The sequence below is a fragment of the Homo sapiens genome, chromosome 5 (assembly GCF_000001405.40).
Source record: "Homo sapiens chromosome 5, GRCh38.p14 Primary Assembly".
NCBI classification, from domain to species: domain Eukaryota; kingdom Metazoa; phylum Chordata; class Mammalia; order Primates; family Hominidae; genus Homo; species Homo sapiens.
The window spans coordinates 150,843,661-150,857,745 of NC_000005.10; the positions used below are offsets into that span (position 1 = coordinate 150,843,661).

At 40.8% G+C, this 14,085-nt stretch overlaps 1 protein-coding gene across 3 annotated transcripts in view, besides 1 other annotated feature; it reads left to right on the forward strand.

Moving 5' to 3' along the window:
* Window positions 2,861–14,085, forward strand: part of IRGM (immunity related GTPase M) — a 55,882-nt gene continuing 44,657 nt past the window's right edge. For 2 of the 3 annotated variants that reach the window (NR_170598.1, NM_001346557.2), the window contains exons 1-2: window positions 2,861–3,560; window positions 4,049–4,994. Coding sequence is in view for 2 of the 3 variants with exons in the window: in NM_001346557.2 (NP_001333486.1) it covers window positions 4,464–4,994 (531 nt within the window). In the remaining variant the exon portion in view is untranslated. Of the gene's footprint in view, window positions 3,561–4,048; window positions 5,043–14,085 lie in introns of those variants that run through there. The other variant, NM_001145805.2, reaches the window with a different exon arrangement.
* Window positions 3,447–3,741: a silencer, noted in NCBI's record as "tiled region #7532; HepG2 Repressive DNase unmatched - State 12:CtcfO". NCBI's record gives its function as "represses a minimal TATA promoter and a strong SV40 promoter by Sharpr-MPRA in HepG2 cells {active_cell/tissue: HepG2}" and the evidence as "EXISTENCE:reporter gene assay evidence [ECO:0000049][PMID:27701403]".

The window sequence follows — 14,085 nt, forward strand, 5'->3', positions numbered from 1 at the left end:
ACAGGTAAGCAGACAGGTTTGAAGATGCTGGCTCAGTTCACAGACATGGTCACAGAAAAAGCCTGGAAAACTATAGGGTTTTCTGCTGACCTCCCACACTCACCATGGACAGTCAGTACCCTGCACTGGCCCGTGTCGTACCCAAGCAGAGTGTGCTTGAAAATTGGATGTATATTAGTAGACCCCGTGCTCAGCGGGTACAGTTTAGAAAGGGAAGTTAACTTATCTGTCAATTAGTAAGTTAACAACACACAAAGTGTACTATGTTTTATTAATCAAACAAAAATATGTTTAACACCTGCTGGGCACAAGGAGTACAATGGTAAAGAGTTTAATGGAAATGTTTAATGGTTAATGCCAAGACCTGTGTATGTATTAATATGATGCCAATCATTTAATACCTGATGAAGCAATAGTTTCTGGGACTACTTGGGTTAGAAAATGGGCCTGCCACAGGCCCAAGCCCATCCCCTACCCTGCATGTGCTCCTGCTCCACTCCCTTGTGCATCTATCCGGTATAATGTTGTGGGGAAGGGGAGTGCTCGATTCCTCACCTTAACCAGCCTGCCAGCTATCCATGCAGAGACATGTGGGCAAAACTCCTAAGGCCAGACCTCCCCACTCCATTCTCCTGCTAGGCTGCTGAGGGACTCCATTCGAACCTGGTAATTACCCTGCCTCCTTCCCTCCAGATTCCATAGGTTACCTCTTCCTCTTTGCAGACTAACTAAAAGCCACCATATCTAAGTAGCATTTGATGAGAAGAAACTAGTTATTTATGTAAACCAAAATAATTAATGTTACAACGGAGAAACTTTATATAGCAGCCACAGATGAAGCCTGGCATGAGGAAGTCAATGATCAGTTGCTGCTCTCGCCATATGGTGGGTTATAAAATCTTCCCAAGACAAGTGAGGCACCGAGAAATTGAAGACTCATATACATTCCAGAGAACAGGGCCTCTCTCATCCATCTCCTCCATTAGGGCCTTTCTTCATATTTCATAGATAGACAGCTGGAGCCAGTTCTCTGCTTCCTGGGCCCTCTAAAAGGGCCAAAGACTTGGACAAATCCATTGTCCTGGGCACTCAGGAGGCAAGATTCTGTGTGTGCATGAGTGTACGAACATGTGTCATGTGAGAGAGTGTGTGGGCACTGGGCACACGAAGCATGAGGGTAGGTGAGTGAACATGTGTCAGCCTACATGAGTGTATATATATGTGCACAGAGTGTGTGAGCATGTGTGCATCAAACATAAGTTTGTGTGAACGTGGCACCACGAGTGAATTTGTGTGTTTGTGTGTGGGGTAAGTGAACATGTTGCAGCCTGAGTGAGCAAGTGTAGTGTGTGCAACAGGGATGTATGTATTCATGTTTACACATGTCAGCTTAAGTATGTTAGGGTGTGTGAACGTGTGTCAGTGTGAGTATGTGTGGGCCTGTGCACAGAATGCAAGTAAGTGTATGTGTGCATGCCGAGGGTGAGTGAGAGTGTGTGTGTGGGGGGGTAAGTAAACATGGCTGGGCATGGGTGAGTGTGCACACCAGGTATGAGTGGCTGTGTGCAGTGTTGTGTGTGTTCACAATGAGTGTGTGAAACAGACCTGCCAGGCCATGCTAGTGAGAGGTGACAGCATGCTGGCAGCCCTCGCAGCCCTCGCTGGCTCTCGGAGCCTCCTCAGCCTTGGCGCCCACTCTAGTGGCACTTGAGGAGCCCTTCAGCCCGCCGCTGCACTGTGGGAGCCCCTTTCTGGGCTGGCCAAGGCCGGAGCTGGCTCCCTCAGCTTGTGGGGAGGTGTGGAGGGAGAGGCACGGGCAGCAACTGGGGCTGCGGGCGTCGCTTGCGGGCCAGCACGAGTTCCGGGTGGGCGTGGGCTCAGCGGGCCCGCGCTCAGAGCAGCCATCCGGCCCCGATGGCCCCTGGCAGTGAGGGGCTTAGCACCTGGGCCAGCAGCTGCTGTGCTGGATTTCTCCCCGGCCTTAGCTGCCTCCCCGCAGGGCAGGGCTTGGGACCTGCAGCCCGCCATGCCTGAGCCTCTCTCCCCTGCCCCACTCCGTGGGCTCCTGCACAGCCCGAGCCTCCCCTATGAGCGCCGCTCCCTGCTCCACGGCGCCCAGTCCCATCCACTGCCCAAGGGCTGAAGAGTGCAGGCGCATGGCCGGGGACTGCCAGGCAGCTTCACCTGCGGCCTGGTGCAGGATCCACTGGGTGAAGCCAGCTGGGCTCCTGAGTCTGGTGGGGACTTGGACAACATTTATGTCTAGCTAAGGGATTGTAAATACACCAATCAGCACTCTGTATCTAGCTCAAGGTTTGTAAACACACCAATCAGCACCCTGTGTCTAGCTCAGGGTTTGCGAACACACCAATCGACCCTCTGTATCTAGCTAATCTAGTGGGGACATGGAGAACTTTTGTGTCTAGCTCAGGAATTGTAAATGCACCAATCAGCACCCTGTGTCTAGCTCAGGGTTTGTGGATGCACCAATCAGCACTCTGAGCCTAGCTAATCTGGTGGGGACTTGGAGAATCTTTATGTCTAGCTAAGGGATTGTGAATGCACCAATTGGCACTCTATATCTAGCTCAAGGTTTGTAAACACACCAATCAGCACCCTGTGTCTAGCTCAAGGTTTGCAAATGCACCAATCTATACTCTGTATCTAGCTAATCTAGTGGGGAGGTGGAGAACTTTTGTGTCTAGCTCAGGGATTGTAAACACACCAATCAGCACCCTGTCAAAATGGACCAATCAGCTCTCTGTAAAACAGACCAATCGGCTCTCTGTAAAATGGACCAATCAGCAGGATGTGGGTGGGCCAGATAAGAGAATAAAAGCAGGCTGCCCGAACCAGCAGTGGTAACCTGCTCAGGTCCCCTTCCATGCTGTGGAAGCTTTGTTTTTTTGCACTTTGCAGTAAATCTTGCTGCTGCTCATTCTTTGGGTCCACACTGCCTTTATGAGCTGTAACACTCACCGTGAAGGTCTGCAGCATCACTCCTGAAACCTGTGAAACAACGAACCCCCCGGGGAGAAACGAACAACTCCAGACTCGCCGCCTGAAGAGCTGTAACTCTCACTTCGAAGGTCTGCAGCTTCGCTCCTGAGTCAGTGAAACCACGAACCCACCGGAAGGAAGAAACTCTGAACACATCCAAACATCAGAAGGAACAAACTCCGGACACGCAGCCTTTAAGAATTGTAACACTCACCGCGAGGGTCCGTGGCTTCATTCTTGAAGTCAGTGAGACGAAGAACCCACCAATTCCGGTAGGAGTAGGAAATCACATCACCTTCTTTTAATCAGTCTCAAATACCTGGCCCCTTGTGGAACCTGCAAGAGCCAGGTTTGGCGAATGCAATGATAAGCAATTGTCTAATCACTGCCTTGAAAAAGAGCAGAGCATTTGAGTATGCTGTCTCCTCCTCTCCCTCACTTCAGTTGGGCCCAACATGACAGTCTTAATGGAAGCTCGGGGGTCAAAGGCTGGTGGCTTACTTCACGTATATTGCAGCATTTCAGTACTGCTCTGCACGTGTGCTCCCCCGCCTGATGAGGTAAGTGTTAAACAGGGATGATCACAGCTTCAAGTAAGCAATGGGAATTGGATGTTTTATGTCCTCTGGCGCCATCTTCAGCAGAGAAATATATAGGTCACTTTTACTTGTCTGGTTTTGGTCTTGAAATATGTACTGAAACTTGTGAAGGAGCAGACCTATATTAGGATAGAGTAAAAGAGGGAAAGACAAAAACCTCTTGGGCTTTTCAGGAGACTTGGTTCATTCTCTGCTTTTCAAGCCATCTCATGGCCACATGCCTGCTTTGGAGGCTGACTCGGAGGCACAACCGGCCTCAGGGCGTTCCTCAGGGACCCTACCTTTCTTGCTCCCTGAAGAAATGTGCACATTGCTTGAATAAAAACAATCAAAGAACACTCAGTCAAGATCGTCTGCTGCAGTCTTCGTTGAGGGCTGGGGATGCTAAAAGTCAGATGATTCATGTGTACCCTGTCCATCCTAACTCACCTGCTCTTCTACTTCCGCAGCTTACTCCAGTGCCCACAGATACGACAGAGTGTCCCAAGTGCCCCTCACACTCTATTAGCTGCATCCTTAACCTCTTTTTGCCACACCATAAGCATTGGGTTTTGTTTGTTTTGAGATGGAGTCTTGCTCTGTTGCCAGGCTGGAGTGCAATGGCGTGATCTCAGCTCACTGCAATATCTGCGTCCAGGGTTCAAGCGATTCCCCTGCCTCAGCCTCCTGTATTAGCTGGGACTACAGGCGCACACCACCACGCGCAGCTAATTTTTTTGTATTTTAGTAGAGAAGGTTTCACGATGTTGGCCAGGATGGTCTCAATCTCCTGACCTCGTGATCTGCTCGCCTCGGCCTTCCAAAGTGCTGGGATTACAGGCATGAGCCACGGCGCCTGGCCAGCATTGGGGTATTTTATTGAAGATGGAAGCCATGAATGTTGAGAAAGCCTCAGCAGATGGGAACTTGCCAGAGGTGATCTCTAACATCAAGGAGACTCTGAAGATAGTGTCCAGGACACCAGTTAACATCACTATGGCAGGGGACTCTGGCAATGGGATGTCCACCTTCATCAGTGCCCTTCGAAACACAGGACATGAGGGTAAGGCCTCACCTCCTACTGAGCTGGTAAAAGCTACCCAAAGATGTGCCTCCTATTTCTCTTCCCACTTTTCAAATGTGGTGTTGTGGGACCTGCCTGGCACAGGGTCTGCCACCACAACCCTGGAGAACTACCTGATGGAAATGCAGTTCAACCGGTATGACTTCATCATGGTTGCATCTGCACAATTCAGCATGAATCATGTGATGCTTGCCAAAACCGCTGAGGACATGGGAAAGAAGTTCTACATTGTCTGGACCAAGCTAGACATGGACCTCAGCACAGGTGCCCTCCCAGAAGTGCAGCTACTGCAGATCAGAGAAAATGTCCTGGAAAATCTCCAGAAGGAGCGGGTATGTGAATACTAATTCCTGTCTTCATTAAACATTTTCCATCTCCTCCTATTGATTCCTTTTCTCCTTTATTTCACTGGACTCATTGAAACACACCTGGTGCAGAAGGGTATCTTACAATTTTCGGGGGCATGTAGAGAGTGTGGTTGTGTTGTTCTTTGAGATCTTTTGAGTGTTGGGGCCAAGATTCCCAGGCAAGGCTGCTTGCTTCGAAGGTCCTTTCCCTTCACGGAACTCTCCACCAGGTGCTAAAAATGATCAGTGTCTTAAAATGGATGCAAGATTATATCATCAGGGTCCTAGCACTCTCAAACTGAGTCATAATGAGGGTATTTTCAAAGGTGTGGACAGGGTGCAGGGAGACCACCAAGACAAAATGTTAACCCCACGGTATAACCTCAAGGCAAGTAATGGTCGGGAGGAGCCCTCTCCAGGTTCGAACAGGCAAGTAGAGAGGCAGGTTGCTTGAATCTCAAGATGGAGTTTATCAGTAATAATAAAGACTTCTGGGCTTAAAAACACACAACTGAGATCTACAACAAAACCTCTAAAACAGAAAAAATAGTAACCATGTTAAAGGGTTCTAAGTTCTTGTTTTATCCAGAGCATGAGTAAAAATGTTGATTAAGTTTAAACTATGGTTTGTAAGTAATGCCTAATATCTTATGGTTTATAAGGAATGCCTAATATCTTTAACTAACGAAGGAATATAAACTGTGCATATAACTTGCAAGTGACAAGAAAAACAATAGTGTAACAAAAATACACTCAATCCAAAGGAAGGCATCAGAAAAAATATAGCACAAAATAAAATGTTACATATAAACTGAAAATATCAATAATTATATTTAGTGTTATTGGACTAAATGTTTTAGTTAAAAGTAAAATGATCATCAGGCTGGATTTTAAAATTCTAACCATATATATGGGTGTAATTTTTCTTTTTCTCTCTTTTTTTTTTTTTTTTTTTTGAGATGGGTTCTTGCTCTGTCGCCAGGCTGGAGTACAGTGGTGCAACCTCAGCTCACTGCAACTTCCGCCTCCTGGGTTCAAGCGATTCTCTTGCCTCAGCCTCCCAAGTAGCTGAGACAACAGGTGCACACCACCACGCCCAGCTAATTTTTGTATTTTTAGTAGAGACCGGGTTTCACCATGTTGGCCAGGATGGTCTGAATTTCTTGACCTTGTGATCCGCCTGCCTTGGCCTTCCAAAGTGCTGGGATTACAGGCATGAGCCACCACACCTGGCCACCACATATATTTTATAAGTGACATGCTAGATAAGGATACAGAAACTATGCAAGAAAACCTACCCCTCAAGTCCCAAGTCAAATAAAGCAATTGTAAGCCAAATATATAGTAAATAATGTTTCAGAGAGATGCCTGTATAGATGGTAAAAGCATTCATTAAAAAACCAAAAATACACCCAGTAGCCAGGCTGGTTTTAAACTCTAGCTTTTGGAGGGGAACAAGAGAGTTTTCTGTGCTGCTGAAGGGTCCTATTTCTTTTCCTTTCTTTCATTCATTTTTTAAAAAATGTCTGCTTTATTGAGATGCTAGTCACATACGTAATTTAAAAAAATATGTATGGCAGTAAAAGATGTGTGCTTATAATTTAAACAGTACATAATTATGCACTATTATGTAAGTTCTATTTCCTAATAATAAGAAATTGTTAAAAATTTCTTCAAAGGAGGTCTTCATATACTGATATAGAACAATTACCAACATGTTAAAGAAAAAATAGGTTGTTAGACATTATTTAAGAAATGCTTCCATGTCTGTAACATAGAGAAATAGCTTGTGCATACTTGCTCATGTATATATACAATAGTTCTGCAAGGATATTATGGTCATTTCTAAGGGGTAAGGGGTGAATAAATATGGAGTGGGAAGACATATTATTATGTACCCCCCTTTTTTGAGACAGGGTCTTGCTATCTTGCCTAGGCTGGAGTGCAGTGGTGCCATTATTAGCTTACTTGAGCCTCGAACTCATGGTATCTTCCTGCCTCAGCCTCCTGAGTAGCTAGGACCACAAGCACATACTTATTATGCCTGGCTGATTTTTAAATTTTTTTGTAGAGACAAGGTCTCACTATGTTGCCAGACTGGTCTTGATTATTCTGGTTTCCACCCCCTGTAGTGAGAGCGAGCCATGAGTTTTCCCTGCCTGGCTGTGCCTGATGTCAGCTCCCAGGCCCAGGAGGACTGCGAGGCAAAGACGGATGAAGGATTCTTGTACAGAGATATCTGAGTATTACTCAGCTGGCACACATTAGCTTTCTATTTTAATGAGCATTTTCAAATTTGAAAAACAAAATTCATCTCTACTTTTAACTGAAATGTGTTTGGAAATGTTAGTTTTGGTTTCAGTGAAGCCATGCAGGTAAGAAAAACCATCTTACTTGGACTGGAAAAGAAGGATAGATCAAATTTCAGGGCAAGAATTGACATGATAGTTGGGCAGGAACAAAGAGATAAAGGGAAGCCTGTGCTTTTGGTTGTACTCCCTACATATGGCCCTGGAACAGCAACCTGGTGATCTGATTACCATAAGCAGCACCCTCCTACCGTTGGTCTTGAAGGGAAGATGGAGCAGGTGAAGAGTCAGATAATGGCAGAGAATGCTGTAGGGTGTTGCATGCACTCCATCTTCCTCCCCCTTATCTGTCGTAGACATGATTGGTATGGCTGGTAAAGAATCATAGACCCAAGTGCATCAAATGTTCGCAATTTAGCATAAATAAGAGCATCAGGGGGACCTCATCAGGACAGGGATTCTTTTGATCATCCATGGTCCCCTAATGCACGACGGCAGGCCAGGTGTGGGGCAAACATTCAACTTTATAATAGACAAAATTTTTGTATATGATTGAATTTTTTGTTTTGTTCCTTTGAGAAGATGATATATAAAACTCAAATTTGGAGATTTGAATATAAAGGGCCATTGAATCATTTGTATATTTCTGAATCTTGCTTGATTCAATCCCTTGCCACTCCCAGCACTGCACTTCATCCGTGTCTTCACAAAAGGGAAAGAACTAGCAACAGCTTCATTACTCTTCCCTCCTTGTAACCACTGATGGTATTTACAAGCAGGAAGATTACCCAAGAAGTTCTCATCTAACAATGTTTTTAGTAGGCTTTTTGCATTGCTTATTGTAGATGAATCTGGAATTTGTGAAGTACAGGGCACAACTTGGAGAGCTAAAGTTAGTCATGTAGGTTTCCTACCTGTGCAACTAATGGAATGTAAAAAGCTCTAAACTTAAATGGCCTCCTAGGGCTAACATGTATGGCATGTACATGATACATACAGTAACATTAATCTCCTACTCAGGCACAAAGTACATTCCAGTGCAAAAATATATGTTTTTGGAAGTACATCTGATCTTTTGGGCCTTTTCAAAGATGGATATTGCTGTTTCTCTGCTTGCTTTTTGCTCATGTTCTTCATCAATTAGTAAAATTTGGTATTAAGTAAGCTGTATAATTTTCATAAATCTGCTTTGACAGTTTGACCTCCGTGGTAGCGTAATGACTAAATCAGAACTGTGCCATTCAATCAGCTTTTGGTGTACTTCTGACATTACTATAAATTCTTAGACTCAGCTTCTCATTATTATCTTATATTCTTATGTTTTAAAAACCTTAGTTCTTAAAGATTTCTTATTCTTATCTTTTCCTGCTACATTTGATTCCTTAGAGCAATCATTTGTTCTGATTAAACTATTAACGGAATTATTTTTTCTACCTAAGTTGCACAGGGGATGGACATTATTTCCATCTGGCTCACCTTATTCAAAATACTAAAACTATAATCAAAGCCCATTTTAGATAATCATCTCTTAATTGAGCTGTTTGTCCACTTCTTATTTCATGAAATTAGGAAATTGTTCACACATTCTCATTAAGAGCAGTGATGCCAGTGATGCAGTGTGGTATAAGGATGAAAGCTGGTACCCAGAGCATGGGATAAGCTAGAGAGAACTCTAAGGACATAATTTAAAGCCATATTCTGCAGAGAATGGAAAAGGCCAATTCTCCATTGAGGCTTCAGTTCTGGAAACTAATCTCAACAAGAATGTACCCTTTTTCATTCTCAACTCTAGGAACAAGCAGAAGAATCAAACAACTATTTCTATTTCGGGTTAGTTTGTCTATAATAATATCTCATTTCCTGGAGAAGTGTTTTAAGAGTGCATATTGTTGAATTTCTAATAGAAGAGAAAATAATATTGAGTTTCTTTACTGTATTTTTAGGCAACATTCTCAAATGAATTATGGTAATCTTTGCTCATATCTTTTGTTATTTTATTTTTTCTGCTATCTTTGGGTTTAGATCATTATTCTTCTAGTGCCTTAAAACATAAAGTTGTATTGTTGAACTGAAATCTTTTATCCTTTTAAAATGTAAGTATTTAAAGCTATAATTTTCCCTCTTCATACTGCTTTTACAGCGTCCCATTAGTTTTTGCAAATTGTGTTTTCATTTGTCCTAAGGTTTTTTCTAATTTTTCTTATTTAACCCATTGGTTGTTTAAAAGTGTGTTGTTTAATGTCCACATATTTGTGAATTTTCCAGTTTTTCTTCTGATATTTTCAGTTTTATTGCATAGTAATTGGGAAAGACACTGCATAATTTCAATCTTTTAAAATTTATTAACACTTGTTTTGTGGCCTAATGTATGGTCTCTCCTGAAGAATGTTACATATTCACTTAAGAAAAAAACCATATATTCTAATGGAATCTTGTTGGGTGAAGTGTTCTGCATGTGTCCAATTGGTCTGCAGAATTGTTCAAGACTGGTGGTTCTATCCAGCATTGAGAGAGGGGTATTGATATTTCCTACTATTACTGTAGACCTGTCTATTTGTTCTCTCCAATTTTATCAATGCTTGGTTAATATATTTTGGAGATACGATGTTTGGTACATATGTTTATAATTATTATATCTTAGAACTGATTCTTTTACTTACATGTAGTATCTTGCTTTGTCTCTTGTAACAGTTTTTAATTTAAATTTAACCTAGAGTCTATTTTGTCTGATATTAGTATAGCCACCCCTGCTCTCTTTCAGTTCCTGTTTGCATGGAATATCTCTTTCCACCCTTCCACTTTCACTTTCAAACTATGGTATCCTGAGATCTATAGTGAATCCGTAAAGTATCTATAAAAACAACATATAATTGTATCACATCTCCCCAACCCCATTCTACCAATATCTGCTTTTTGATTGGACAGAAACATCCATTTACATTTAAAGCAATTACTGATAAAGTGGAACTTCTGCCATTTTGATGTTTTCTCTTTGTCTTATAGCTTTTTTTCTCTCATTTCCTCAATTACTACTTTCCTTTGTTTTTAGTTCATTTTTTATAGTGACACATTTTGATTACCTTTTTATTTCCTTTTGTGTACATTTTGTGGATATTTTCTTTGTGGTTACCATGGAGGTTACATGTGACAGTACAAAGTTATAACAATCTATTTTGAATTAATACCAACTTGACTTCAATTGCACCCAACACTTTGCTTTTTTACAACTTTCCCTTCCTGCTTTGTTATGTTATTTCTGTCAAAAATCAATCTTTATATATGTTGTGTACCTATTAACATGGATTTATAATTATTTTTGTGAATTTGCCTTTTAAATTCTTTAAAAAATAAAGTGTAGTTACAAGCCAAAATTATATAAAACTATTAGTTTTTATAATGTCCATGTATTTGCCTTTACCGGAGATCTTTATATTTTCCTATGTGTTCAAGTTACTGTCTATTGTCATTTTATTTCAACTTTGAAGGGCTGTCTTAACACTGATTATAGTGGAGGACTAGTAGTAATGTAGCCTCTTAGCTTGTTTACCTGGGGGTGCATTTATTTTTGCCTAATTTTAACAGGACAGTTTTGCTAAATACAGAATTCTCAGTTGACAAGTATTTTTCTTTTTCTTTTAGCACCTTAAATATATCATCTCTGTGCCTTCTGGCCTGCAACCTTTCTGCTGAGAAACTTACTGAAAATCTTATTGAGAATAGCTTGTATATGATGAGTCTGTTTTCGCTTGCTGCTTTTAAGATTCTATTAGTCTTTTAACAGTTTGATTACAATTTGTCCACTATGGGTCTTTTTGGCTTTATCTTGTGGTTCATACAGCTTCTTTGTATGTCTTTCCTCAAACTTGGGAAGCTTTTGGCTATTACTTTTTCAAAAAAATTATCTGCCCCTTTCTTCTCTTTCTCAAAGTCCCATAATGTTTTAAATGAGTAAAAACACAATAATTTTGAATATGACTTTTTCTTAATGGGAATTTACTTGGTTGCTCTTTTTTTCTGACTGTTTTTCAGAGTTTCTATAAAGTTATTTAAACCATCCATAGTATTTTTTTCTATGAATGAACAAAGGTTTGGAGGTTCTTAGCTTACCATTTTGCTGATATCCCTCAGTACTATGAACACAAGTAGGACCAAGACTCATAGCCTGGCTGCTAGCCAGCATTGCTTTGAGTTACACTTTTCAAAATTCTCCTACTTGGTGTAGCTCCTAGTATATCTTTGTTGATGAGGTAAATGAAATTCAACATGCAGAGTAATTTTTCTCAAACTTAGATTTATTTTCTAATTAAAAATAAATGTAATAATTGGCAGCTTAAAAATAAATGGAAGCACAGTGAAATTTTCTCATTTTTTTCTTTATCCTTAAGGAAGAGTTTGTTTTATTCATTATAATTTTGTGATGACTTAGTAAGTAGTTGAATTTTATTAAAATCAATGAAATGATTAATTTTTCTGTTGGCCACCAGAGAAGTGACTGAAACGGTTTCTCTTGCTGACTTAGATATTTAGTAGGCATATGGGAAGTGATCAGATTAGGAAGAATGTAAACTTATCAAAAAAGTGACAAGGAGGAATGGTAAGGTAGCCTTGAGGTCAGCGTACTAGGTCTGATTTTCCAACATGGTAGATTCTTTAAGGCACCTTCATCTTTTCACCACCTGTAGTTTGAGTTCACTTAGGAATGACATAGGGGCTCTTTCTTCAGGTTTTATTGACCTGAGTAACCTGGTTACCAGAGTGGAGCAGATAAAATGAGAAACAGTGAAATATAAACCACTAGTATGTTCACTGCAGCAAAAGAAAAATAAACTAGCCAAATGTGAAATAAGACTATTAGGAAGAAGGCAAAAACACAGAAACAATATGTTTTGTAAAAGGGGAAAATTTGATATCAATTAATTTAGACTTTCTGAAGCATTCTCTTAAAGAACAGTTTCTCCAGATGTTAATTAGGAGACACTCAATTTTTAAAAGTTAAAACATGTTTTAACTTCAAAACTCAAGAGATTTTAAAATTATAACAATAAATTATAAATCTCTAACAGCATTGACTATCATGGGGGAATATTTCAGAAAATAGTATTTTAAAAGTATGTATATATATGTCCAAATTTTATAAGTTAAATATGTGATTTAAAAAATAAAATGTATCAAGGCTGGGGGTGGCGGCTCATACCTGTAATCCCAGCACTTTGAGAGGCCAAGGCAGGTGGATCATGAGGTCAGAAGATCAAGACAATCCTAGCCAACATGGTGAAACTCTGTCTCTACTAAAAGTACAAAAATTAGCCAGGCATGGTGGTGTGCACCTGTGGTCCCAGCTATTCAGGAGGCTGAGGCAGGAGGATTGCTTGAACCTGGGAGGCAGAGGCTGCAGTGAGCTGAGATCGCACCACTGCACTCCAGCCTGGGCAACAGAGCGAGACGTTGTCTCAAAAATAAATAAATAAATAAAAATTATAAAATAAAATAAAATGTATCAAAATTCTACTCTCTCTAAGGGTGATTTTTAAACATTCTATTTATATTTGTGTATCCTCTATGTTAACTGTGATGTTGGTAATATTTTTTTCAATATCTACCAATTGGGGTAGTGTTCCTTCCATGACTTCCATGCACCAACCTTTAAAATACTGCTGCAGTTTTTTTATTTTTCAGAGACAGGGTATTGCTATGTTTCCCAGACTGGTCTCAAACTCTTGGGCTCAAGCAATCCACCTGCCTCGGCCTCCCAAAGTGCTAGGATTACAGGTGTGAGCCACTGCATGGGGCCTGCTGCATTTTCTTAATCCCTCTTCCTCATCCATATACATACACCTGCTGTGGATCCATCCATTTTCTTTTTTTATTTTATTTTATTGTTATTTATTAATTATTAATTAATATTATTAATTAAATATTATTAAATAAATAAATATTTATTATTTATTATTTATTATTTTATTTTATTATACTTTAAGGTTTAGCGTACATGTGCACAATGTGCAGGTTTGTTACATATGTATACATGTGCCATGTTGGTGTGCTGCACCCATTAACTCGTCATTTAGCATTAGGTATATCTCCTAATGCTATCCCTCCCTCCTCCCCCAACCCCACAACAGTCCCCAGTGTGTGATGTTCCCCTTCCTGTGTCCATGTGTTCTCATTGTTCATTTCCCACCTATGAGTGAGAACATGTGGTGTTTGGTTTTTTGTCCTTGCGATAGTTTGCTGAGAATGATGGTTTCCAGTTTCATCCATGTCCCTACAAAGGACATGAACTCATCATTTTTTATGGCTGCATAGTATTCCATGTTGTATATGTGCCACATTTTCTTAATCCAGTCTATCATTGTTGGACATTTGGGTTGGTTCCAAGTCTTTGCTATTGTGAATAGTGCCGCAATAAACATACGTGTGCATGTGTCTTTATAGCATGATTTATATTCCTTTGGGTATATACCCAGTAATGGGATGGCTGGGTCAAATGGTATTTCTAGTTCTAGATCCTTGAGGAATCGCCACACTGACTTCCACAATGGTTGAACTAGTTTACAGTCCCACCAACAGTGTAAAAGTGTTCCTATTTCTCCACATCCTCTCCAGCACCTGTTGTTTCCTGACTTTTTAATGATCGCCATTCTAACTGGTGTGAGATGGTATCTCATTGTGGTTTTGATTTGCATTTCTCTGATGGCCAGTGATGGTGAGCATTTTTTCATGTGTGTTTTGGCTGCATAAATGTCTTCTTTTGAGAAGTGCCTGTT